The following is a 22,625-nucleotide window of genomic DNA, read 5'->3' as shown; positions in this document are numbered from 1 at the left end:
GCACCTGTGTGGGGCCAGCTCACGAGAACCTGGGGCCAGCCTCCCTACTGACAGCCTGGGCTTCCCCACCGGCCAGGGGAGGAATGAAGGAGAGCCGATGCCTGCCACACTCAGGCGGCCGCACGTCAGATCCGTGGAGGGACTCAGGGCGCAGTGTCTGTGTGGGGCAGCGATATTCAGGCAGGGATGACAGCCCCCCAGAGGGCTGCAGCCAGGCACTGCCCACTCGTCTGGGGCTGGGCTTCAGAGGCCATCCTTGTGGGTGCAGAAGAACCCAGGGGCTCACAGGCGGCACCGGCTATGCCGTGAGGGCTGCAGGCACTGTCTGCTCTGACCCTGGGGGTCCCTGTGCTGGCCCCAACCTGTCATCCCCACCAGCCTCACCAGCCACAGCCCCTCTCCCAGGACACCACGCCCAGGGAACAAAAGCCATGCTTATCAAAGGAGTTTTTCTTTATTTTTCATAATTTAGCTGAATCAACACAAAATTGAATACTGTAAAACAAGAAAAAAAAATATGCTGTAACATCTTAAATCTCCCGATCTCTGCCCTCGAAGGTGTCTACACTTGCTTTCAAAAGAAACAGGCGAGGGGGAGGCCGTGAGGACGCTGGCTGGCAGAGGCTGCCGGCCCGGGCCGCCGGAGCCGGGGCAGCTTGGGAAGGACCCTTTCCAGGCCCACCCCCTCTGTGATGACAAACCCAACCTCAGCCCCTTCTTTTAGTCCAGGATACAAATGCCTATAAATTTGTGGTGACTGAAAGGTAAATTATGTCCTCATGGATACCGGAACAGGTCTTAAATAAATGGATTTTCTTTCGTATCTTCAGTCTATGGTTGCTGGAACAGCTTCTATATAGTTATTTTTTTACGTTTTTTTTAGTAGGATAGAACTAGCATAATACTCATGTTAATTGGACTCATAGGTAGTATATACTTCAGCGGGAACTCAGGAAAATGAAGGAGGCTGGCGAACGACGGCCAGGGGAGAAAAACCAGAATTGTCGCTTATTCCTCGGCCCTGCCGGCCCCGCCTGCGCCTCTGCCCGGCGCGACTTTCTGGACCTAGTGACACGAAGACAGAGGACTTCTCAGAACGCGGGGACACAGGCGTGGGGAGAAGGGCCGTCAACTGGCCTCAAGGTCCGTGAGTGGCGAAAGGGGCAGGAAATGGGAAACAAAACCCATTGGAAGAAGCATGTTCAAGATATTGTACGCTCAAGTGTTGACCAATACAGGGACCAGAGAGGGAATCAGGAGCCAAGCCTGGCCCGCAGCGAGGGGAACCCGGCCTCCCCGGGCACGACCGACACATCCGGGACGCCGACGCCACGGTCCTCCGCACGCTTCTCCCAGAGTCCCGCCTTCCGTGCCTGGCACCCCGGGGTCCGCGGGGCACCACCTCCCCGCCGTGTCCCACCCCCAGAGTCTTCAGAAACACACGGGGCTCGGCCCGACTCTCAGGACGGCCGGGACTGCCACGTTAATTGTTAAATAGGATTTTCTACAAATATACAACATATAAAAACTGTTAAATATATAACTTTAGGCTTTGCAAAATACATTTAATGATCTCTTTCAAACAAGTGTTACTCGAGTTTTCTTTGCTTTCTGGAGCTAAATGGGGTATCGATGAGGCAGCAGTCACGGGAGACCCAACATGCTCTTGGCAGATACTGGATTATCCAACTATCAAAAATGGAGCTGTAGAAGAGGCATGTTTAACTGGTTAAAACAGAAAGGGATTTTAGTACGGTCAAGTTGATCTAAGTACAGAGGAATAAAGCGGCCTGCGTTCCCGGCGTCTGCGTGGGGGCCGTCGCTGCCTCCCGCAGGTGTGCCACGGCCTCCGCGCAGCCGAAGCCCGTCCTCCGAGGGTGCGCGGGGTGCTCCTGGGGTGGAGGCCTCCACCACGGCCGCCCTCTCCGCTCCGCCGGGGCCACCAGCATGTCTCTGCCACCATTGCCCTCCCGCCCGCACAAGCGACCCCAGGGACCCTGACAGTGAGGGTGCGTCCAGGTTCAGATAGATTTTGCTCTTTGGTCTATGGAGTATACTGAAAGTATAAGAAAATAAAAGCAATTCGGACAGTCTGGGGCACGGGAGGAGGCCGCTTCTGTGCCTGACAGTCCCCTGGGGCAGGCGTCGTGTCTCAGGCGGGCTGGGCTGCAGCCTTCTGTGGCTGCCGGAGCTGCCTCCTCCTCCTCCTCCTCTGAGGACAGCAGGGCCAACGCCACGGTCGGCGGGGGCTGGGCGCGGCCGGGCTCCCACAGACTGCGTATTGCTGATGCCAGGTGCCGCCCCCCGCCTATGTGTCTGAGTCCGGCCTCCTCGGGTCGGCTGGACAGACCGAAGCTCAGGATGCCAAGGCCTGAGGCCGTCCTTCACGGACCACAGGGAAACGGAGTGGGCGGGCGGCAGAGAACGGGTGAAGTCCGAGGCGAGTGGAGAACTGTGGCTGAGACGTGGGCTCTCCAGGGAGCCAAGGCCACTCCCGGGGCCCCTCAGGGGCTGTGTTTGTCAGGAGACCTGAGGAGCAAAGAGAGAGAGAGGGTGAGCCTCCTGCAGACGCTGCCCAGGGCCACAGGGAACACAGGCTCCTCTTCCCTCCCCGGCTCCTGCCAGCCGGCCTCCTGGAGGGCCTGAAACGAAGAGCTCATCCTCAGTGCTGTGAGGGACATCCAGGCCACCAGACAGTGCCCCCAAATCCCCACCCTTCCTTGTGTCTCGGGAGAGTGGGGCGCCCTCTGTGCACGACCTGGAGGGGCTGTCAGCCTCGGCCAGAGGCCTTCCCACCCCACTTGCCGGCTTCCTTCCTCTATGCAGCCATATCACTTTGCCACTCCACAGCTCAAGAACCATCTGTGGCTCCCTATTCCCTGTATCCAATTCAAACCCCTCCCAGCTTCCTGGGCCTCTGAGGCCACAGACTGCAGAGCTCACCCAGAATGGTCGCTGCAGGCTGGGGGACCTGGCCGCACCCCCACCACGGAGCCACCCTCCCCTGGCCATCCACGCCGGGCCTCTACAGGTCTGTGTGCCATTCCCGTGGCTGCCCAATCAAATGACCACATACTGGGGGATGGGGATCTGAAAGAGCAGTTAGTTCTTCTTGCCCAGACTCAAGGTGTGGACAGGGCCTGTTCCTGCTGGAGGATCTGAGGGAGGGTCCACTCCAGGCCCCCTAGGGGTTTCTGGTGCTCCAAGCAATCCTCAGTGCTCCTTGCCCGGGAGACGCATCGTCCTGATCTCTGCCTCCATCCTCACACGGTCCCCATGTCGACACAGACCCTGTCCCATCTGGCCCCGGGAGTATTCTCTTCAACAGGAGGCAGAGGCCCTGGGGCTCAGCTTCCCCCTGACACTCACCCTTTCCCTGGGCCCCAGGCAGCCCTGAGAATCTGCCCTTGAACCGACCTTGGCCAGGAAACTCATCATGGGACCCTGGCCCTGCTGAAAGTTCTGAGCCCACCCTGATGCTGTCTCCTGGGCGGGCACCTCCAGGCACCTGCCCACCTGGGTTAGGCCTCATCTGCCTTGTGTTAAATTCCTTACTCAGCCAGGGGCGGTGATGATGAGGGTCTCGCAACTGCAGGGCCTCCCCAAATCCCAGGTTCCGTCAGGGCCAGGGGTCATCTCCAGCACCCTGGCCAGCTGCGGTTCCTGAGCTCCTGGGCGCCAGTCACTGCTCTGGGAACGACCTTGCCGTCACCTTGTCATAGCCTCGTCTACCCAACGGGGCTGTGGGATTAGAACCCACACTCAACAGGACCTGAGGCTCAGGGGTGAGGGGACCTGCCCCGGGGACAGAACAGCCCCATGGCACACCTTTGAGACAGGGAGCCTCAGACGCCTTCCCAACCTGGCTTCCTGGAGCTGCCACCACGGCCGTTCTGCCTGTGGCCCAGCCAGCCCTCTCTGCCTGTGGACACTTGTGGCCTGGGTCACAGCTGGTGTGTCTCCTCACTGCACCCCTGGGGCCTGGAAAGGAAGCTGGCTCTGAGCTCCCCTCTGCTGGGTCCACGGGCGCTCGGTCATCCACAGTCCAAGGCCAAGGCCTGTGTCCTGCAGTCTGCAGCCGTTGTTCCAGAACCCAGTCCCCAGAGGGCTCAGAATTGGCCCCAGAGTGAGCTTGCCATCACACCGGGCTGTGGATGCCCAACAAGCTGGCATGAACGGTGTGGTCCCTAGCTGCCTGCTTCACCTGCGGGCACCTGATGCTTGGCCCACACAAGCCTTTCCATCAGGAGTGACCGGAGGGCGTGGTCCTGAGCCTGTGGAGCGCGTGTTCAGCTTACATAAGAGGTTTACCCTGTGCTCAGACACAAACAACAGAACCAAACCTCCCAGCTCCATTCATCCAGGTAAATGATACTTTCTCTTCCTCACTAGAAGTTTCCATCTGACGTTAAGGTCAGGAGGAGCCTGCTGTATGAAGGAACACGCTATTCTTTTTTTTTTTTTTTTTTTTTAGACAGAGTCTTGCTCTGCTACCCAGGCTGAAGTACAGTGGTGCGATCTCGGCTCACCGCAACCTCTGCCTCCCCCGTTCAAGTGATCCTCCTGCCTCAGCCTCCTGAGAAGCTGGGACTACAGGCATGCGCCTCCATGCCGGGCTAATTTTTATATTTTTAGTAGAGATGGACTTTCACCATGTTGGCTGGGCTGGTCTCAAACTCCTGACCTCAGGTGATCCGCTCACCTTGGCCTCTCAAAGTGCTGGGATTACAGGCATGAGCCACTGTGCCTGGCCAGAACACGCTGTCCTGAATGGAGCCCATACTAAAGGTTCCAGTAAACAGTAAGAAGAAAGCAGCAAGACAGCGTGAAGACCATGGTGCCACCTCCACGGACCCCTGGGACGAGGGACACTGTATCTTGGGAAAAACCCAAGTGGAATCAGGGAGGCCACTCTGGAAATACATACCGAATCCCAGCCATGTTCAGGAAGCCTTTGGCTTCTTTCCTGGGGCTGCTCCCTGAAGGTGCAGAGCCAGGTCACAACCAAGGCCCCAACGCTTCCTGCACCCCAAGGCCAGGTCCACGAGAAGGGCTGGAGCGGCTGTGGTTGGTTGCTGCTGTTCAAATCACCATGCAGAACATCAGGGACTCAGGCTACAGGGCATTCATTCTAGCAATCCCAGCAGGCGTCCTGAGCTGCAGCAGGTCATCTTCACAGGGAACCTTCTCCAGTCCCAGGGCCCCTTAGTTCTTAGGCTGAGCAGCAAAGTGCATTAGGGCAGGGCAGGGCCGGGCGGGAATGGTGACACCATGGTGGCCTCCAGTCCTGTTGGCTCATGGTGTCCACTCCCCTGCCCTCCGCCCTCCTAGCCTGTGAACCACTCCTTCCTGGGCTCCAGGGCGTTGAGCCCACTCTGTAGGGTATGGGCGAGGGTCCTACTGGAAGGGAGGTGCTGGCCACCAGCCTCCTGAGGACATGGGGGTCCGGTACCCATCAGGCTGGTGAGCTGCCTGAGGATGGCTGCCGGGGTGGGACGGGGAGCTCAGCAGGCACCAGGCCCCAGGGGTGCGGAGCAGGCTGACCCTCTGCTGAGGAAGCAGGCTGCCATCCCAATCCACCCTGATGACAGGTGACGAGGCCCCTCCGGCTTCTGTCCTGTAACAAGGCTGGACTAGGCTGCCACCTGGTAGGAGGCCAAGCTAGAACCCCTCTTCCCAGGGCGGGGCACACCTCCCGGGTCCGAATGCTGCAGCAGCAATTACTATCTGAACATCCACTTACTCTCTGAGCGTCCCCCTGTGCCTCAGTTTCTCCATGTGTAAACACACACCCACTTCCTGAGTTAGTGCTATGGCTTGAAGAGATCTAATAGAGCCAGCACCACGTGAGCATCTCTCTTTTTTTTCTTTAACAAGACGGGGTCTGGCCTTGTCACCCAGGCTGGAGTGCAGTGGTGCGATTGCAGCTCACTGCAGCCTTGAACTCCTGGGCTCAAGCCATCCTCCCACCTCAGCCTCCTGAGCAACTGGGACCACAGGCACGTGCCACCATGTCCAGCTGATGTCAATGTCTCTTATGTTGAAAATGAGAGTGACGGGTGACTGGGGTGTCTGCCTGCCTGACGAGTGGGGTGCTTCCTGAACGGCACGGGGTGGAGGCCAGCCTGAAAGCCCAGAATGCCCTGGACGACTTCACTGAGAGCAGAAAGACAACACCGAGAAGGGCCAGGCCCAGTGCCAGCCAGAAACCACAAGGACAGGGGCCGGAGGCGACCAAGCTACTCAGCCCAGGCGGATCCTGGGGACACACGCCCTTTCCTTGAATGGACGCTGAATGTGCCCCAGTGAGGGACACAAGGACCCCAGCCCATCGCTGTCTCCTGGAGGCTGCATCCTGTGTGTGCAGCTCACACACCTCTCTCCCCGGGACAGTGTGCCCCTGCGGGTCTCACAGGTGGCAGCTCCCGCTCTCACGCAGGAGCTCAGCTCACCGGCCCGCCCTCCTCTGACGCGTGTGTGGTGAAGCGAGGCCTCTCAGGACCTTCCTTCCCGTGGTGCTGCCAGGAGAGGTGCCTGACACCAAGCTCCAGCCTGTGGGACCAGGGGCAGAAGAGCCACGGTTTATATGAAATCTTTGGGCCGGTGCTGACACCTCCCGGGCCCCCTCCAAGTACCCACGTGGACCACAGTGGACAGAAGAGGCATCTGACAGGAGGCACCGCTGCTGCCCCAGATGAACAGTCATCAGCTGAGACTGAAGACGGAGTGAATTCTAGGACCTCAGGTAACTCCTGTAACGCCAAAATACAGGGCTGAGCCATTGAACACTATGTCATGTGTGTGCTCAGGGTGAACCCCGGACAGGCCAGCTGCCGACGACAAAGCCGTGTGTGCCCATGCTCAGGGTGAACCCCGGACAGGCCAGCCGCCAACGACAAAGCCGTGTGTGCCCATGCTCAGGGTGAACCCCGGGCAGGCCAGCCGCCGACGACAAAGCCGTGTGTGCCCATGCTCAGGGTGAACCCCGGGCAGGCCAGCCGCCGACGACAAAGCCGTTGTGTGCCCATGCTCAGGGTGAACCCTGGACAGGCCAGCCGCCGACGACAAAGCTGTTGTGTGCCAATGCTCAGGGTGAACCCCGGACAGGCCAGCCGCCGCCGACAAAGCCGTGTGTGCCAATGCTCAGGGTGAACCCTGGACAGGCCAGCTGCCGATGACAAAGCTGTGCCCTGTGCAATGAGCCTGCTCCACCAAAGAGCCAGGACTGGGTAGCAGACTCGGGTTCAGGGCTCAGGGCTGCTGAGACACCCTCACAGGCTAATGGTCCCAGGGATGAGACAGAACCCACTCCTGCCGGGCGCAGTGGCTCACGCCCGTAATCCCAGCACTTTGGGAGGCCAAGGCAGGTGGATCACCTGAGGTCAGGAGTTCGAGACCATCCTGACTAACACGGTGAAACCCCGTCTCTACTAAAAGTACAAAAGCAGGCCATGGTGGTGCATGTCTGTAATCTCAGCTACTCGGGAGGCTGAGGCAGGAGAATCGCTTGAACCTGGTAGGCAGAGGTTGCAGTGAGCCGAGATCGTGCCACTGCACTCCAGCCTGGGCAACAAGAGTGAAAACTCTGTCTCAAAAAAAATAAAGAAAAGAAAAAAAGGAACCCGCCCCCTGCCTCCCAGGGCTGCGGAAGCACAGAGAAAAAGATGTTCGTAAAGGTGCTCTGGAAATGTAAGAAACCACCCAAGTTAGGACCGTGTCGCCGGAAGAGCACACAGGTTTAGCACCGCTCTCTAACGAGGAGGCTGTGTCTGCAGAGCGACTTTGCCGAGTGCCCTGCAAAGCCCATTTCCCCAAGGCTGCAGGGCTGAGGGAATCAGTGGGGGCTCTACAACTTGACTGGGACCCGGCTCCAATCCCACGAACCACACGGGTCATGGCCTGGGGAGGGCCACCAGGTATCGATGCCTCCAGGCCTTCCCTGCTCGCCACACCGCTCCAGCCTTCATCTCACGAGACTCCAAAAACATCTCCTTTTCAGGAGGTGAAGCTGCCCAAGGGTGGCCCTCATCTGGGGTCACCAGAGAACCACAGTCTGTGGCCCCCACCTTGGAGCCTGAGTCAGCCACCCTCTACAGAGCGATGCTCAACGCACAGGGCCCAGAGCTCCCCTCGGTCTCCTTGATCCCACCAAGAAATGTCAGGGACTAAGGGCCATCATGGAGCCAGCATCGTCCTTAGGGCCAGCCCCTTCCTCACGGCCGAAGACACACATTCTGGGAACGAGGCCACCCCCGTGCCGTGGGGCTGCACAAGTGCAGGGTTCAGGGATGACTCCATCTCGACAGAACAGCCTTGGCAGGCGCAACTCGGAGCTTCCCCGACGGCAAACCCAGCCCTAGGACTGAAACTACGCAGAAAAATTAACAAGTAAAATCCCCCAAACTCATCACGACTGGTGTGATCACTGAAGCCAGACACAGTGCCCCAGGCCACCAAGCAACACTCGGCTGCTGTAGGGCAGGTGGGGGCATCGGCTGAGGAATGTGCGGACGGATCATCTGTTTATCTGTCAAACATTTATCCATCTGCCATAAACAAGGCACCTGACTCAGGAGGGCGGCAAAGACGAATGCAGGCAGGGTTCTTTCCCTCAGGGTAGAGGAGCTCCCCCAACACAGCTGGGCTGGCAGATTGGACATCAGAGACGTCAGCGCCTCGGCTGCCCACGGCGGGGCCCAGCTCCCCCACAGTCCGCTCCTGGCCGTGGTACGCCGGAATGAGGACGCACCTGGCAGCCCTCCCCCTCCTCCATGAGCTCAGGAATGAAGACTGTGCTGTACTAGACTTAGTCCTCTGTTGAGGCTGAACTGTGTTCTACAGTAACAGACATGAAGATCCTGACCCCATACCTGTGCATGGGGTCTTACTTGGCAGCAGGTTCTAGCAGATGTGATCGAGTTAGAATGGGGTCGTATCAGATTAGGGTGGATACCACTCCCTTACAGGGAGAAGGAAATCTGGACTCAGGGCAAACACACAGAGCAGCAGGCCCCATGCAGACAGAGACAGAGGCGGGAGCCACGCAGCCACAGCGGCTGCAAGAGGCAGGGAGGACCCTCTGCTGGAGCCTCCCAAGGGAGCACGGCCCAGCAGACACCGTGACCACAGACGTCTGGACCCCCGAACCGGAAGAATGGCAGGAGGAGGCAGGGAGGACCCTCTGCTGCTGCCTCCTGCGGGAGCACGGCCCAGCAGACACTGTGACCACAGACGTCTGGACCCAGAACAGTGAGAACGGGTTTCATGGTTTGAAGCCACCGGGTGTGTGGCATTTTGTTCCAGCGGCTCCCGGAGACTCACACAGCTTGGACACTGTGCCTGACCCGAGTGAGTCCTGGGGATGTTGACTGGAATCCGGGGGCTGCTGAGCCTGCGTCCCAGGGCTGGGCTGAGGGCGGGGCCAGGCAGCATTGCCCCAACATGTCCGCACTGTGGGGGCCCCGCGTGTGGGCTGCATGGAGGCAGCAGAGGGCCCTCCTCACACCGTCAGTCCCTTGGGCTTCATCGCACCTGAGCTCCCAGCTGGGGACTCAGCCCCGCTGAGCACCCCAGGCCATCTCTCCTCTTCTAATACACCATGCTGCCCAGTCCACCATAATGCCTGCTCCACTGTGCTGCCGGCTTCACCACACCACCCGGCCCACCACGTCGCCTGGTCCATCACACTGCCCGGTCTACCACGTTGCCTGGTCCACCATGCGGCCCGGTCTACCACGTTGCCTGGTCCACCATGCGGCCCGGTCCACCATGTCGCCTGGTCCATCACGCTGCCCAGTCTACCACGTTGCCTGGTCCACCATGCGGCCGGGTCCACCACGTCGCCTGGTCTGCCACGCCACCGGGTCCACCACAACGCCCGCTCCACTGCGCCGCCAGCTCCGCCACACAGCACCACCCGCTCCACCCGTCTCCTGCCCCACCTGCTCTGGCTGGGCTCTTGCTGTGTTAATGTGGGCTCTGACTAAAACTGTGCTTGACTCTGCTGTCTGTGTCCTCCGCTGTGAAGCAGGTTTCTCAACACCAGGACCATCCTCGTGGGGGTCAGTTCTTTTCCCGAACCTGGCAGGGGCCCCGTGCACCTGTGCCTGGTGAAGGATGAGGGGCCTGTGGGGTGGGGCAGGGCTGTGCCTGGTGAAGGATGAGGGGCCTGTGGGGTGGGGCAGGGCTGTGCCTGGTGAAGGATGAGGGGGCCTGTGGGGTTGGGCAGGGGAGCCGGTGCAGCCAGACCCCTCCAGAGCCTGGCAGGTGCCCCGACCTCCCACAGCCTCCCAGCTGGAGCCTCTGGGAGCCCCAGTTTCCCCGTCTGTAACACGGGATAGGAACAGTGTTTACCCCCAACCATGGGGTTCTTAACAAAAAACTGTTTAATTTCAAGAGTTCAGCCTAAGAGAGAATGCAGGGCACTTTTTCTATTGCAGAGTATAACTCAGAATAAAGAAGAAAAGCCACAGCGACCTTCCTCATCAGCTTCTACAAGCGTTCATCCAGAAGGCTGCCGTGTTATTGCTGGAGCTGCTGTAACCAGGTACCCCAGACTGGATGGCTTGAACAAAGGACATTCGCTGTCTGCAGCCCAGGAGGCTGGACGTCTGGGATCCACAGGTGCGGCAAGGCTGGCTTCTGAGGCCCCTCTCCTCGGCGTGCAGATGGCATCTCTGAGTCTGCACAGGCTCAGCCCTGTGTGTGTCTGTGTCCTCACCTCCTCTTCTTAGAAAGACAGGGTTCTCTTGAATCAGGACCCTGGACCCCAAGGATCCCACTTAAGCTTCTCTCCTTTAAGGCCCTATCTCCAAATACATTCAGACTGGGGGTCAGTGCTTAAATGTATAGATTTGGGGGATGCCGTTCAGTCCAAAAGAGCTGCTGAGGGGCTGACCTGTGGACTCAGGGACTTGAGGACTCTCTCTGAAGTTCACATGCAGAAAATGCCTAGAGTCCCGCCACCTTCCCCTCCACGCCCGACGCAGGAGGTGCTGGGGAACATGCCGGGTGACTCCCAAGGTGCCCAGATGGGACCCAGCGGTGAGGACGGTTCCAGCTTTGCAGGGAGGGACCCAGGGGTGAGGACGGCTCCACCTTCGCAGGGTGGGACCCAGCGGTGAGGACGACTCCGGCTTCGCAGTGTGGGAACGGGGGGCAGGATCTGGGCTGGGCAGCTCACCAAGGGGCTGGGGTGGAATCACGGACTCCTCACTTCCCAGAGCCTCATTTTCTCCATCTGTGCGGATAAGGACCACAGCCAGGGTGGTGGGAACACCCAGAGTCCAACACAACAGCGCTGTGAGCGCACCTCGGGGACGCTGGGTCTCCACTTCCTACATCCTCGGGGACGTTGGGTCTCCACTTCCTACAGGGATGACGCAGCCTCCCTGAGCGCTGACTCGGGGCCCTGCGAGGAGGCAGATGGGACCTGCGGCCATGTTCTCATCACTGCTGCCATTTCTAAGGCTGTTTACCTGGCACAGTCCCAGGGTTCTCAGGGGTGAGGGCGGGGGGTCACTGAGCTCCCCTGAGAACAGGGCAATTGTGAGGCCTGCCGGGGGCATGTCCTCAGCACGGTGCCTGCAGACCCTGCGAGGCCACATCGCAGCCACCACATCTCTGTGAACTGCCCCCAACACCAGGGCTGGGCTCTCGTGTGTGAATCTCCATCAGGGGTGGACACGTGACATGCTGAGCCCATCTGCTCTCTCTGGAATCTGTCCCTGGCTGAGAGTGTGGGCCAGTGACGGTGCTGGACCTTCGCTGAGACGGTTCTGAAGCCACGACGCTGCCACGTGCTTCCACGTTAGGAAGGAGACAGTACGAGGCAGATCCGCCAACTGAGGCCGGGGCACAGCTCCATCCCTGCCCCCCTGGTAAGCCCACTTTTGCTCACTAAGCAGTGGGAAATGGTTACTATTCCTTGCAACCAGAGAGTGAAGGCTATTGCTGTGTCTTATCTGCAAACACACAGGGAGGGGCCGGAGTCTGGAGGCTCTGTGAGTCCTCAGAGCCACGCAGCCAATGCGGGGAGGCTGGCTCTGCGACCAGCTCGTCTGCCCCAGGGCCCCCGCTCCTGCAGCCACCTCCTGCCCTGCCGTCCTCCCAGCCAGGGAGGCCACACCCAGCAGGGTGGGGTATAGGCTTCTCCTTGGGGCTCCTAGTTAGCAAAGTCACTGTTGGGTCCTGTTAGGAAAAGCCTCGAGCATCCATTCACCCTCTCCAGGGTTGGAGGAGAGGGGCCTGCAGCGTGAGCTCCTCCCTGTGCTAATTAAGGACAAGCCAGCTGGGATGGGCATGGGCAGCAGTGTCCAGGAGGATGGGCACTTGGTGGGTTCTAAGGAATCAGCACATCCGGACACCGATCAGACTCCCACTTAGAAAGCCGACCTGCAGTCCTGGACAGTTGAGGGTGCAGGGCCCCCAGAGCTTCTGCTGACTCAACGTCCTGACGGCCAGATTGCTGCCATAGACCATGGAGTAATCGTGCCTCGCGCCGGGGAATAAAGGGAGCTGTGCACGGCAAATGCACGGGGAGGCGCTGTCAGCTCTGAGAGGGAAGGATGGCACCAGGAGAACCAGTCCACAAGCAATGAAAGCAAGCCCACGACAAACACAGAGAGGCAGGCGGAGCCATCACATGCTCCTCCCCAGATCTGCTCAACACTTCATCCTTTATTGGTCATTGTTAACCTGAGCAGCGAGCTCGAAGATCAGTTATCACCTCTGGACACATCTGGGCTGCAACAGATGTCTAACCTTGTGTCAGCAATTACAGTGCCGGCCACTCACCCACCCCAGAGGACACAGCACCTGCATGCAGGTGTCCTCGGGCTGAAGGCAGGAGACCGCCCTAACCAAGGCTGGGATTAGTGTGCACAGGCATTCGCTATGCAGCCCTTCTGTGCCATGAGGTGGAGAGCTGGGGAAGGAAGCAGAATGGGCAGTGCCAGGGCCCTGGAAAGGAAGGCGTGTATTCTTTCGCTTAGCTTTGACAGAACCAGACCGCAGTCTCAACATTTTCTGCAAGTTGCTAAGCTGTAAGAACACATATTTCTTGGTTGGTTAAATAGTCTAGCATACTTCTCTGGGAAAAAAAAATATTTAATTTAAATATGGGAAAATTATATTTCTGTCTTTCCAATGGTATATTTCCTCTCTTTGCCTCATAGCTATCTTTGGGTCTTTGAGAAGTTCCTAGAAGCTTCCAGAAACTGGGCCCTGGTGCGGGGGAGGGTTCTCAGCAGTGCTGGGGTAGTGGTGGGCTGCAGTTTGCTATTTCTATGGAGCTGCTGCTTTTGCAGATAGACCACGATTTTTCCTTTTTGGAGAAGGGAGCAAAGCATTAAGGTTCATTGTTTTGAATCACGAATACCAGGATCCAGGTGAGATGCTCATACGAGGGGTGGCTTGGTTTATAATCCAGTGGTGAAAGGAGGAGCCGGTGACAATGCATTTGGGCCATGAAGGCAGCGTCCCATCTTGGCCCTGAATTCTGAGCAGCAGCAAGGTCAAGGTGCCATGTCGGGCTGCCTGCGACGGCCGATTAACTCTCAGGACTGAAGACAGAGCCACAAGTGGCAAAAAACACGGAGCTCCTGAGGGCTGACCCAGCGGCTGCCTGGTTATGCATCATGGAAACTAACACACCCTGCCCGGGGAATGTTGGCTTTTTATACCTCTTAAATTAAAATAACCCGTTTAGGAGTGTGCACATCATGGCCTCCCTCACTTAATAATGTGATTATTGGCGCAGATGGTCTCAGGTGAGGAGGCTGTGGTGCAATCACTCCTCACTGGGGTGAGTAGAGGGTCCTGGAGGGACTGAGCTGGGGGGCTCTGTACAAGGAGTCAGGAGAGGCCAGAGGCAGCGAGATGAGACTCAGGAGCACAGGCGTGGCCTTCGACCTTCCCTTGCTGTGCGCCCAGAGGCCCAGGAGTGGCTGCCCGGGAGGAGTGCTGACTGGGACACCCGCTGGGCTGCAGGGGACATTCTGTGTCTGACCTGGGGGCCCCCATGTGGGTTTGGTGACATCACAATCCACGCAGTGGTACCTTTAAGATGTGTGTGTTTCACTGCTGAGAGCTATATCTCAATTTTAAAAACAATATAGACATTCCGGGGGCTTCCCTCCTTTCCTCCAGTGACAATAAGGCCCTCCCCATGCTGGGCTCCCCGTGCTCGGCTCCCAGTTCTGCAGGCACTGCCCTGCTCAAGAAGGAAATTTCACACTTGGCCCCGGCAGCCAGGCTCACTGCAGCAGGCCACCCATTCCGTCCACTCCAAAGGTGGGTTCCTGGACTCAGCCTCACTGAATTCTAAATGAGAGGACCCAGGATCTCCCTCATGTCCTCCAAAGGAGGCCAGAGCCCCCCCAACAGCATCCCCCAGGGAAGGCCCCCACACAGGCAACCGCAGGAGGCACAACAGGGCTGCACAGTGACCGCGGCCCTCACTCATCACTCAGCATCTCACGCTCGGTCCAGCTCAACCCCACCTCTGACCTCAGAGGCTGCAGCTCCCTGGGAGGTGGAAGCCGCCCTCCCTGGCCACAAGGCTGCCCATTTGCCCTGCGGAGGCCCTGGGGCCAGTGTTCACACCTGGAGCCACAGTCACATCCAGCGCTAGGGAGCAGGGCTGGCATCTCCATCCCTGAGGCTGCACTGGCCTTGGGAACTGCCCACCTCTCGGGCAACATCGAAGGGCGTGTGAAGGACGTGGCTCTGCCACTTCCAACCTTCCCCTTCCGTGCTGTGCCATGGTGCAGCTCTGAAGCTCTGTCCCTGTGCCCAGGCTCACCCAGCACAGTGTGCGGTGCCCTCTCCCAGCCCCAGGAGAAGACCCCGGCTGGCATCAGGGGCGACCACAGCATCTCGGCGACTGCAGCTCCACAGCCTCATTCAGTTGCGAGTTCATGGGTGGACAGCATTGAGGGGACCAGGGACAGCAGGGCAGGCTCAGGGGCGCTCCTCAAAGGCAGCGTCAGAAGCACCTCCCACTAGGGCAGCTCGGGGTCCCTAAGGCCAGGCGCTGCCCTCGAGCTGTGGGGGCCAAGTAGCTTCTGAAGCTCAAGGTCAAAGCCCAGCCACGTTCTCAGGTTCCCTGTCTCATGGTCTTTGTCCTGTGTCCACGTTCAGGACAAATGGCCATTTGGGGTGGGACAGGCCTCTCTGTGTGGCCAGGTGTCTGGCCTCTGAGCTCGACACGGGGCAGAGTCCTCACATCAACAGAGGTCAGGAGAGGGGCATGGTGGTCTTGCCAGGGCAGCCCCCACCTGCAGCTGCTGTGCTGTCAGAGCAGAGCCCCTGGGGACCAGGGGAGAGACGGGTCAGGGCCTCTCTGCCTCAAATACCAGGCTATGCCTAAGTACCTGTGTGCTGCAGTTTTATTGAGATATGATTCACATACAATAAAATTTGCCACTTAAAGCATCAATTCCCAGGTTGGGCGACCATCACCACAGCCAACTTTAGGACACCTTCATCTCCTCGAAAGCAACGCCATACCCGTCAGCAACCACTCCCCATCTCCGTCCTGGACCCTGGCGGCCACGGGCCTTCATTCGGCCTCTGTGACCTTGCCTGTTCCGGAAGTTTCACATCACTGGGCTCCAACAGGGCAGACTTCGGTGACTGGCTTCCTTCACTCGGCGTCATGTTTCCGAGGTTCATCCGTGTTGCCGGTTCATCAGAATGCCATTCCTTTTTAAGGCTGAATAATATTCCAGTCATGGCTGTATATGAAGGTTGTTTTTCCGTGGGACCGCTGACGGACACTTGGGCTCTTTCCACTTTCTGGCTGTTGGGAACGGTGCTGCTAAGAACAGGCGTGTACAGGTTTGTGTGTGGACATGTTCTCATTCCTCCTGGGGGGATGGACCCTAGGAGTGCGGTTCTCATTCCTCCTGGGGGGATGGACCCTAGGAGTGCGATTCTCATTCCTCCTGGGGGGATGGACTCTAGGAGTGCGATTCTCACTCCTCCTGGGGGGATGGACTCTAGGAGTGCGATTCTCATTCCTCCTGGGGGGATGGACTCTAGGAGTGCGATTCTCATTCCTCCTGGGGGGATGGACTCTAGGAGTGCGATTCTCATTCCTCCTGCGGGGAGGGACCCTAGGAGTGCGATTCTCATTCCTCCTGGGGGGATGGACTCTGGACTCCAGGAGTGTGATTCTCATTCCTCCTGGGGGGTATGGACTCTGGACTCTAGGAGTGCGATTCTCATTCCTCCTGGGGGGATGGACTCTAGGAGTGCGATTCTCATTCCTCCTGGGGGGATGGACTCTAGGAGTGCGATTCTCATTCCTCCTGGGGGGAGGGACCCTAGGAGTGCGATTCTCATTCCTCCTGGGGGGATGGACTCTGGACTCCAGGAGTGCGATTCTCATTCCTCCTGGGGGGATGGACTCTGGACTCTAGGAGTGCGATTCTCATTCCTCCTGGGGGGATGGACTCTGGACTCTAGGAGTGTGATTCTCATTCCTCCTGCGGGGGATGGACTCTAGGAGTGCGATTCTCATTCCTCCTGGGGGGATGGACTCTGGACTCTAGGAGTGTGATTCTCATTCCTCCTGCGGGGGATGGACTCTAGGAGTGTGATTCTCATTCCTCCTCGGGGGATGGACTCTGTGGACTCTAGGAGGGCGATTGCTGCCTCCCTTGGTAACTCCATCATTTTCAGCCACTGCCAAACTGTCTTCCAAAGCATCATGAGTACAAATTTCAGATTCTCTCCACAGAGTGCCTAACTGCTTTCTGCTTTCCAGAGAGACTGGCGGATCTTCATTCCTATTAGCATCCTTTAAGTCAGCTCAAAAGGAGATCAGATAAAAAGAAAACAAATGAACCTGAGTGGCCTCTGTGTGGGTGTTTTGGTCGCCCTTCTTGACAGTGACTGTCTCTGTCATTTTTTCTGGCTGCTTCCATTTCGTATTTTGGGAATTCTCTATTTGCGGACTTTGCCCATCTTCCTGTGGACTGTGCGTCTATCACAAGGTTATGAGACACGCTGGCCAGCTGTGATCCACCTCCTGCTCCCCACGCTGTGATCTGTCTCCTAGCGTCATGCATGTGACTGGACTGTCCTACGTTTGAGGTTCTGAGGTCAGTCGGGGTGGCTAGAGGAGATCAGGGGCTCCAGCTCCCAGCTCCTTGGTAGGATCCCAGCTCTGTGGCTCGTGGGTGGTCTTCAGGACGTTACTTAGCACCTCCGTGCCTCCGTTTCCTCATCTGTAAAACGGGATGAGAACAGTCTGCAGCCCATGGGCAGCTGTCGGAATGAATGAGTTAATCTACCTGAGTGCCTAGGTGCACAGGGTCAGGCGTTTGCTGTCATCATGGATTTCTCCGATTGAGTTTACAATCGCAGCGTTCTTCCTCACGCCACATGCAGATCAATATTCCCCTCCACTTCCTCCTGGTCATCTCAGAGTTTCCTTTATCCTTTACTCTGCAATACCAGGGGAATTTAGTTTTGAACATGGTGTGAGGTAAGAGTCCAACTTGGGTTTTTCCCCAAATCCAAAGCTGATTTTCCCAGCACCTGCTGCTGGTGACCCTGTCCCATCCTCACTGATTTGAGATGCTCACGACATCCGTATCACCTCTCAGGAACACCTGGGTTCATTTCAGGACGGGGCTGTTCACTTGGCCTCTTCTGTGGATCAGAAAACAGCAGTCAGAAGAGCTAACATTTTAGCATTTACTTATGTGCTGGGACTTTGCCAAACATGGTCCTTGTGTTAACTCCTGAGGCAGGTCACAGTGGTGGGGCCCAGGCTTGGGCCAGGCAGGCCGCCCCAAAGCCCAGAGCCGCTCACACACTGCCCAGAGCCCAGACGGCTCCTCTCCTGCTGTTCACACACGTGTCTACACCAGCAGGACGAGGACACCTGGGTGAGTCTTCCGTTCCAAAGTCTTTGACGCCCGAGACTGAATTACACTCTAGGATAAAACGTAAAATCATCTTGTGAAATTCTGAAAACCCATGGGAAACTGGATTCAAATCTTACTAAATGTAAAGATTAACTTTTGAAAGAACAGCTGGCCTCACGATATTTCGCCCTCCACTCCCCATGTCAGCGTCTATGGCATCTTTCATTTGTTCCAGACTTTTCTCATTTCTCACGGGAAGTCTTTACATTTTACACAGGTGCCAACCATTTCTTACTCATGTTCTTTCAAGTTACTTTCTGTTTTCTGCTGTGATCAATAGTTTTCCCCTCTCATTTATTTCATGCATTTATTGTAATTAAATCATTAGTTTGAAACACATGTGCTTGGAAGTCAGCAGCAACGGTTTTTGTGTACGGTAGCTCCCTTTTTTGCATATGCAGAGTGGACTTCTCCTAAAGGTGACCAGCAAATTCACCACTTTCCCATCCTGACCAACACTGTGCAGGCGGCTGCCCATTCCAGCTCTTGGCAGGTGGGGCTGAAGAACTTTTATTAGTCTGGTCCAGGGGTTGGCAAACTTGTGCTGCAAAGAGTCAGACAGTATATGCATTTGCAGCTCTGGGGCCATAGGTTCTGTTTTGCCACTGCTGAACTCTGCTGCTGTGGCTCCCACCCATCTGTAGACAATGTGCGAATGAACACACGAACGGATGGGCCTGATTTGGCCTGCAGGCTGGAGTTTGCTGAACACAGATCTACACCACAGACTGGGTCTGTGAAAACTTTAACATTGGATACAAGCAGAGAACTTTCTATACTCATACTCGGTCCAGTTTACTGAAATCTTATTAGTTTCCAAGGCATTTCAGCCAATCTCTAGAGTTTCTGAAGCACCTGCTTACCTCACCTGCAAGTAACAAGGATCGTTATTTTCTCATATCACACACTGATGTGATTGCATTTGCCGGAACGTCCAAAAAGTCACCATGCAGGACTCCCCTGAAGGTTCCATTTGAAGAGACATAGGGCAACTTGCCTGTGAGGGTTCCATTTGAAAAGACATAGGGCAACTGGGTTCTGTGTCCCAAAATCTCAGAGCTGGAGGCTGAAGCACATGCTGGCTTGGGTTTCAGATGGACGCTGGGCCCTGGGTGGGCCTGCCCTACCCTCCAGGCTGACTGGAGGTCTGTGGCTTTGGTGCTTTTGCTCATTTGATTTGTTTTGTAATGAGTAAGACTGTGTCCCCCTAGTGACTTTCCCAGCATCTATTGAATTAGAAGACTTTTTAAAATATTCAGTCTGGTGATATAGTCATTCTACCTGATTTTGAAATACAGGCATACCTCAGAGATATGGTGGGTTCAGTTCCAGACCACCGCAATAAAGTAAATATCACGATCAAGAGAGTGACACAAATTTTTGGTTTCCCAGTGCATATAAAAGCTATGTTTATATTATACTGCAGTCTACTCAGTGTGCAAACACATCATGTCTAAAAAAAGTACATACCTTAAAAATAAGTTAGTGCTAAAAATGCTAAGGATCATCTGAGCCTTCCGGGAGTCGTCATCTCTTTGCTGGTGGAGGGTCTTGCCGCGATGCTGATGGCTGCTGACTGATCAGGGCGGTGGTTGCTGAAGGTTGAGGAGGATGTGACAATTTCTTAAGACAACACTAACGTTTGCTGTATCGATTGACTCTCCTTTCATGAAAGAGTTCTCTGTAGCATGCGATGCTGTTTGAGAGCATTTTAACTAGAGAAGAACTTCTTTCAAAATCGGAATCAATTCTCTCACACCTGCCGCTGCACTGTCAACTAGGCCTATGGAATATTCGAAATCCTATGTCATCATTTCCACAATGTTCACAGCATCTTCACCAGGGGCAGATTCCATGTCAAAAAAACACTTTCTGGCCAGGCGTGGTGGCTCACGCCTGTAATCCAGCACTTTGGGAGGCTGAGGCGGGTGGATTATGAGGTTAGGAGATCGAGACCATCCTGGCTAACACGGTGAAACCCCGTCTCTACTAAAAATACAAAAAATTAGCTGGGCGTGGTGGCGGGCGCCTGTAGACCCACCTACTCGGGAGGCTGAGGCAGGAGAATGGCGTGAACCCGGGAGGCGGAGCTTGCAGTTCCAGTGAGCCGAAATTGCGCCACTGCACTCCAGCCTGGGTGACAAGAGCAAGACTCCGTCTCAGAAAAACAAAACAACAAAAAAACCCACTTTCATTGCTTATCCCCAAGAAGTACCTCCCCATCCGTTCAAGTTCTATCCTGAGATTGCAGCAGTCCAGTCCCCTCTTCAGACTCCACTTCCAAATCGAGTTCTCTTCCTACTTCCATCACATCTGCAGTGATTTCCGCCACTGAAATCTTAAACTCTCTCAAAGCCATGCATGAGGGTTGGATTCAACTTATTCCAAACAGGTGTTAATTTTGATGATTTTGACCTCCTCCCATGAATCACAAATGCTCTTAATGACGTCTAGAATGGTGAATCCTCTCCACAAGGTTTGCATTTGACTTTGCCCAGGTCCATCAGAGGAATCATGATCTATGACAGCTATAGCCTTATCAAATGTATTTCTTAAAGAAGAAGACTTTAATTTCAAAATTACTCCTTGATCCATGGGCTGCAGAATGGATGTTGTGTTAGCAGCATGAACACAGCATTCATCTCCTGGAACATCTCCATCCGAGATCTTGGGTGATCAAGTGCATTGTCAATGAGCAGCAATATCTTGAATCTTTTGTTCTGAGCAGTAGGTCTCATCGGTGGGCTTAAAGGATTCAGTCAACCATGCCATACACAGATGTGCTGCCATCCAGGCCGTGTTGTACGTTGTATGGAGCACAGGCGGAGTAGGTTTGTTTAATTCTTCAAGGACCTGGGGTTTTCAGAATGGAAAATGAACTCCAGCTTCAACTTCAAGTCACCAGCTGCATTAGCCTCTAACAAGAGAGTCAGCCTGTCCTCTGGTGCTTCGAAACCAGGCACTGACTTCTCTCTAGTGGGAAATCCCACAGTGGGCGTCTTCTTGCAATAGAAGGCTCTTTCATCTACATTGAAAATCTATTGTCTAATGGAGCCACCTTCATCAATGGTCCTGGCTGGATTTTCTGGAGAACTTACTGCAGCTTCTCCAACAGCAGTTGCTGCTTCACCTTGCACTTTTATGTAGTGGAGACAGCTTCTTTCCTTAACACTCATGAGTCAACGTCTGCTGGCTCCAACTTTTCTTCTGCAGCCTCCTCCCTTCTCTCAGCCTTCACAGAATTCGAGAGAGTTGGGGCTTGCTCTGGATTAGGCTTTGGCTTAAGAGAATATTGTGGCTGGTTGGATCTTGTCTCCAGACCATTAAAACTTTCTATCCCTTTCTTATCATTCGTATATTCACTGGAGTAGTACTTGCATTTATCTTCAATAATTTATCCTTTGCTCTACAACTTGGCTGACTGGTGCGAGAGGCCTAGCATTCAGCCTGTCTCAGCTTTCGACACGCCTTCCTCACGAAGCTCGATCACTTCTAGCTTTTGATTTAAGGTGAGAGACGGACGCCTCTTCCTTTCACTTGAACACTTAGAGGCCACTGTAGGGTTATTAATTAGCCTAATTTCAATATTGTTGATTCAGAGAACAGGGAGGCCCGTGGAGAGGAGAGACGGGACTGGCCGGTCAGTGGAGCTGTCAGAATGCAGAAAACATCCATCTGTGAAGTGTGCCATCTTACACGGGCATGGTTTGTGGTGCCCCAAGACAACTGCCATAGTCACATCAAACCTCAATGATCACAGATCACCGTAACAGATATAGTAATAAAGTTTGAAATACAGGGGAAATTACTAAAACGTGACACAGAGACACAAAGTGAGCATACGCTGTTGAAAACATGGTGCTGTCAGACTGGTTCAAGGCAGGGCTGCCACAAACCTTCAATTTGTGAAAACGGCAATATTTGCAAAGTGCAATAAAGCAGAGTACAATAAAACAAGGTGGGCCTGTAGCAAGACGCACTTTTGTTGCTCATGTTGGCTCCACCGCACTGCATGTGGCCTTTTCTTTCTTTCTTTTTTTTTTGAGACACAGTCTTGCTCTGTCGCCCAGGCTGGAGTGCAGTGGCGTGATCTCGGCTCACTGTAACCTCCACCTCCCGGGTTCAAGCGATTCCCCTGCCTCAGCCTCCTGAAAGTAGCTGGGACTATAGGCACGTGCCACCATGCCCAGCTAATTTTTTTGTATTTTAGTAGAGATGAAGTTTCACCAGGTTGGCCAGGATGGTCTCAATCTCCTGACCTCATGATTCGCCCACCTCGGCCTCCCAAAGTGCTGGGATTACAGGCGTAAGCCACCGTGCCCAGCCTCTTTTTTTTCTTTTAAAGGACTCAGAATTCAGTGTGCTGTTATTTTATGTAGGTGTGAGCAATGTGTGTGCCATGCAGTACTAACACCAGAGGATGCACATTCCAGGGACACGGATCCCCAGAGGCGGCTGCTGCCCTCGGGACAATGCTGGGTGGGTGTATGCAGCTGCTAGGCTGCTTGCTGAAGGAATTGCGTGCCTGACACGGTGCCTGGCCCACATCACAGACTCAAAAGTCTTTGTGGAAGGAGATGATAATTGGAACTTTTTTATCTTTTGGGACACTTTCTAAAATATTTCAGTTCCTAAATATATATTTATATATTTATATTTAAATTTATATATTTCATATTTAAATTT

The 22,625-nt window shown here is 55.5% G+C and overlaps 1 protein-coding gene across 2 annotated transcripts in view; it reads right to left on the bottom strand.

The window, feature by feature from the left end:
* Window positions 1–435: 435 nt before the first annotated feature.
* TAFA5 (TAFA chemokine like family member 5) overlaps window positions 436–22,625 on the bottom strand; it is a 262,380-nt gene continuing 240,190 nt past the window's right edge. For both annotated transcript variants that reach the window (NM_001082967.3, NM_015381.7), the window contains exon 4: window positions 436–2,529. In NM_001082967.3, the coding sequence (NP_001076436.1) occupies window positions 2,521–2,529 (9 nt within the window). In that variant the 3' untranslated portion in view covers window positions 436–2,520. The remainder of the gene's footprint in view (window positions 2,530–22,625) is intronic.

This window comes from Homo sapiens, chromosome 22, assembly GCF_000001405.40.
Source record: "Homo sapiens chromosome 22, GRCh38.p14 Primary Assembly".
In the NCBI taxonomy this organism is placed as follows: Eukaryota; Metazoa; Chordata; class Mammalia; order Primates; family Hominidae; genus Homo; species Homo sapiens.
The sequence above is the reverse complement of the archived record's forward strand: the minus strand, read 5'-3'. Positions and strand labels throughout refer to the sequence as shown.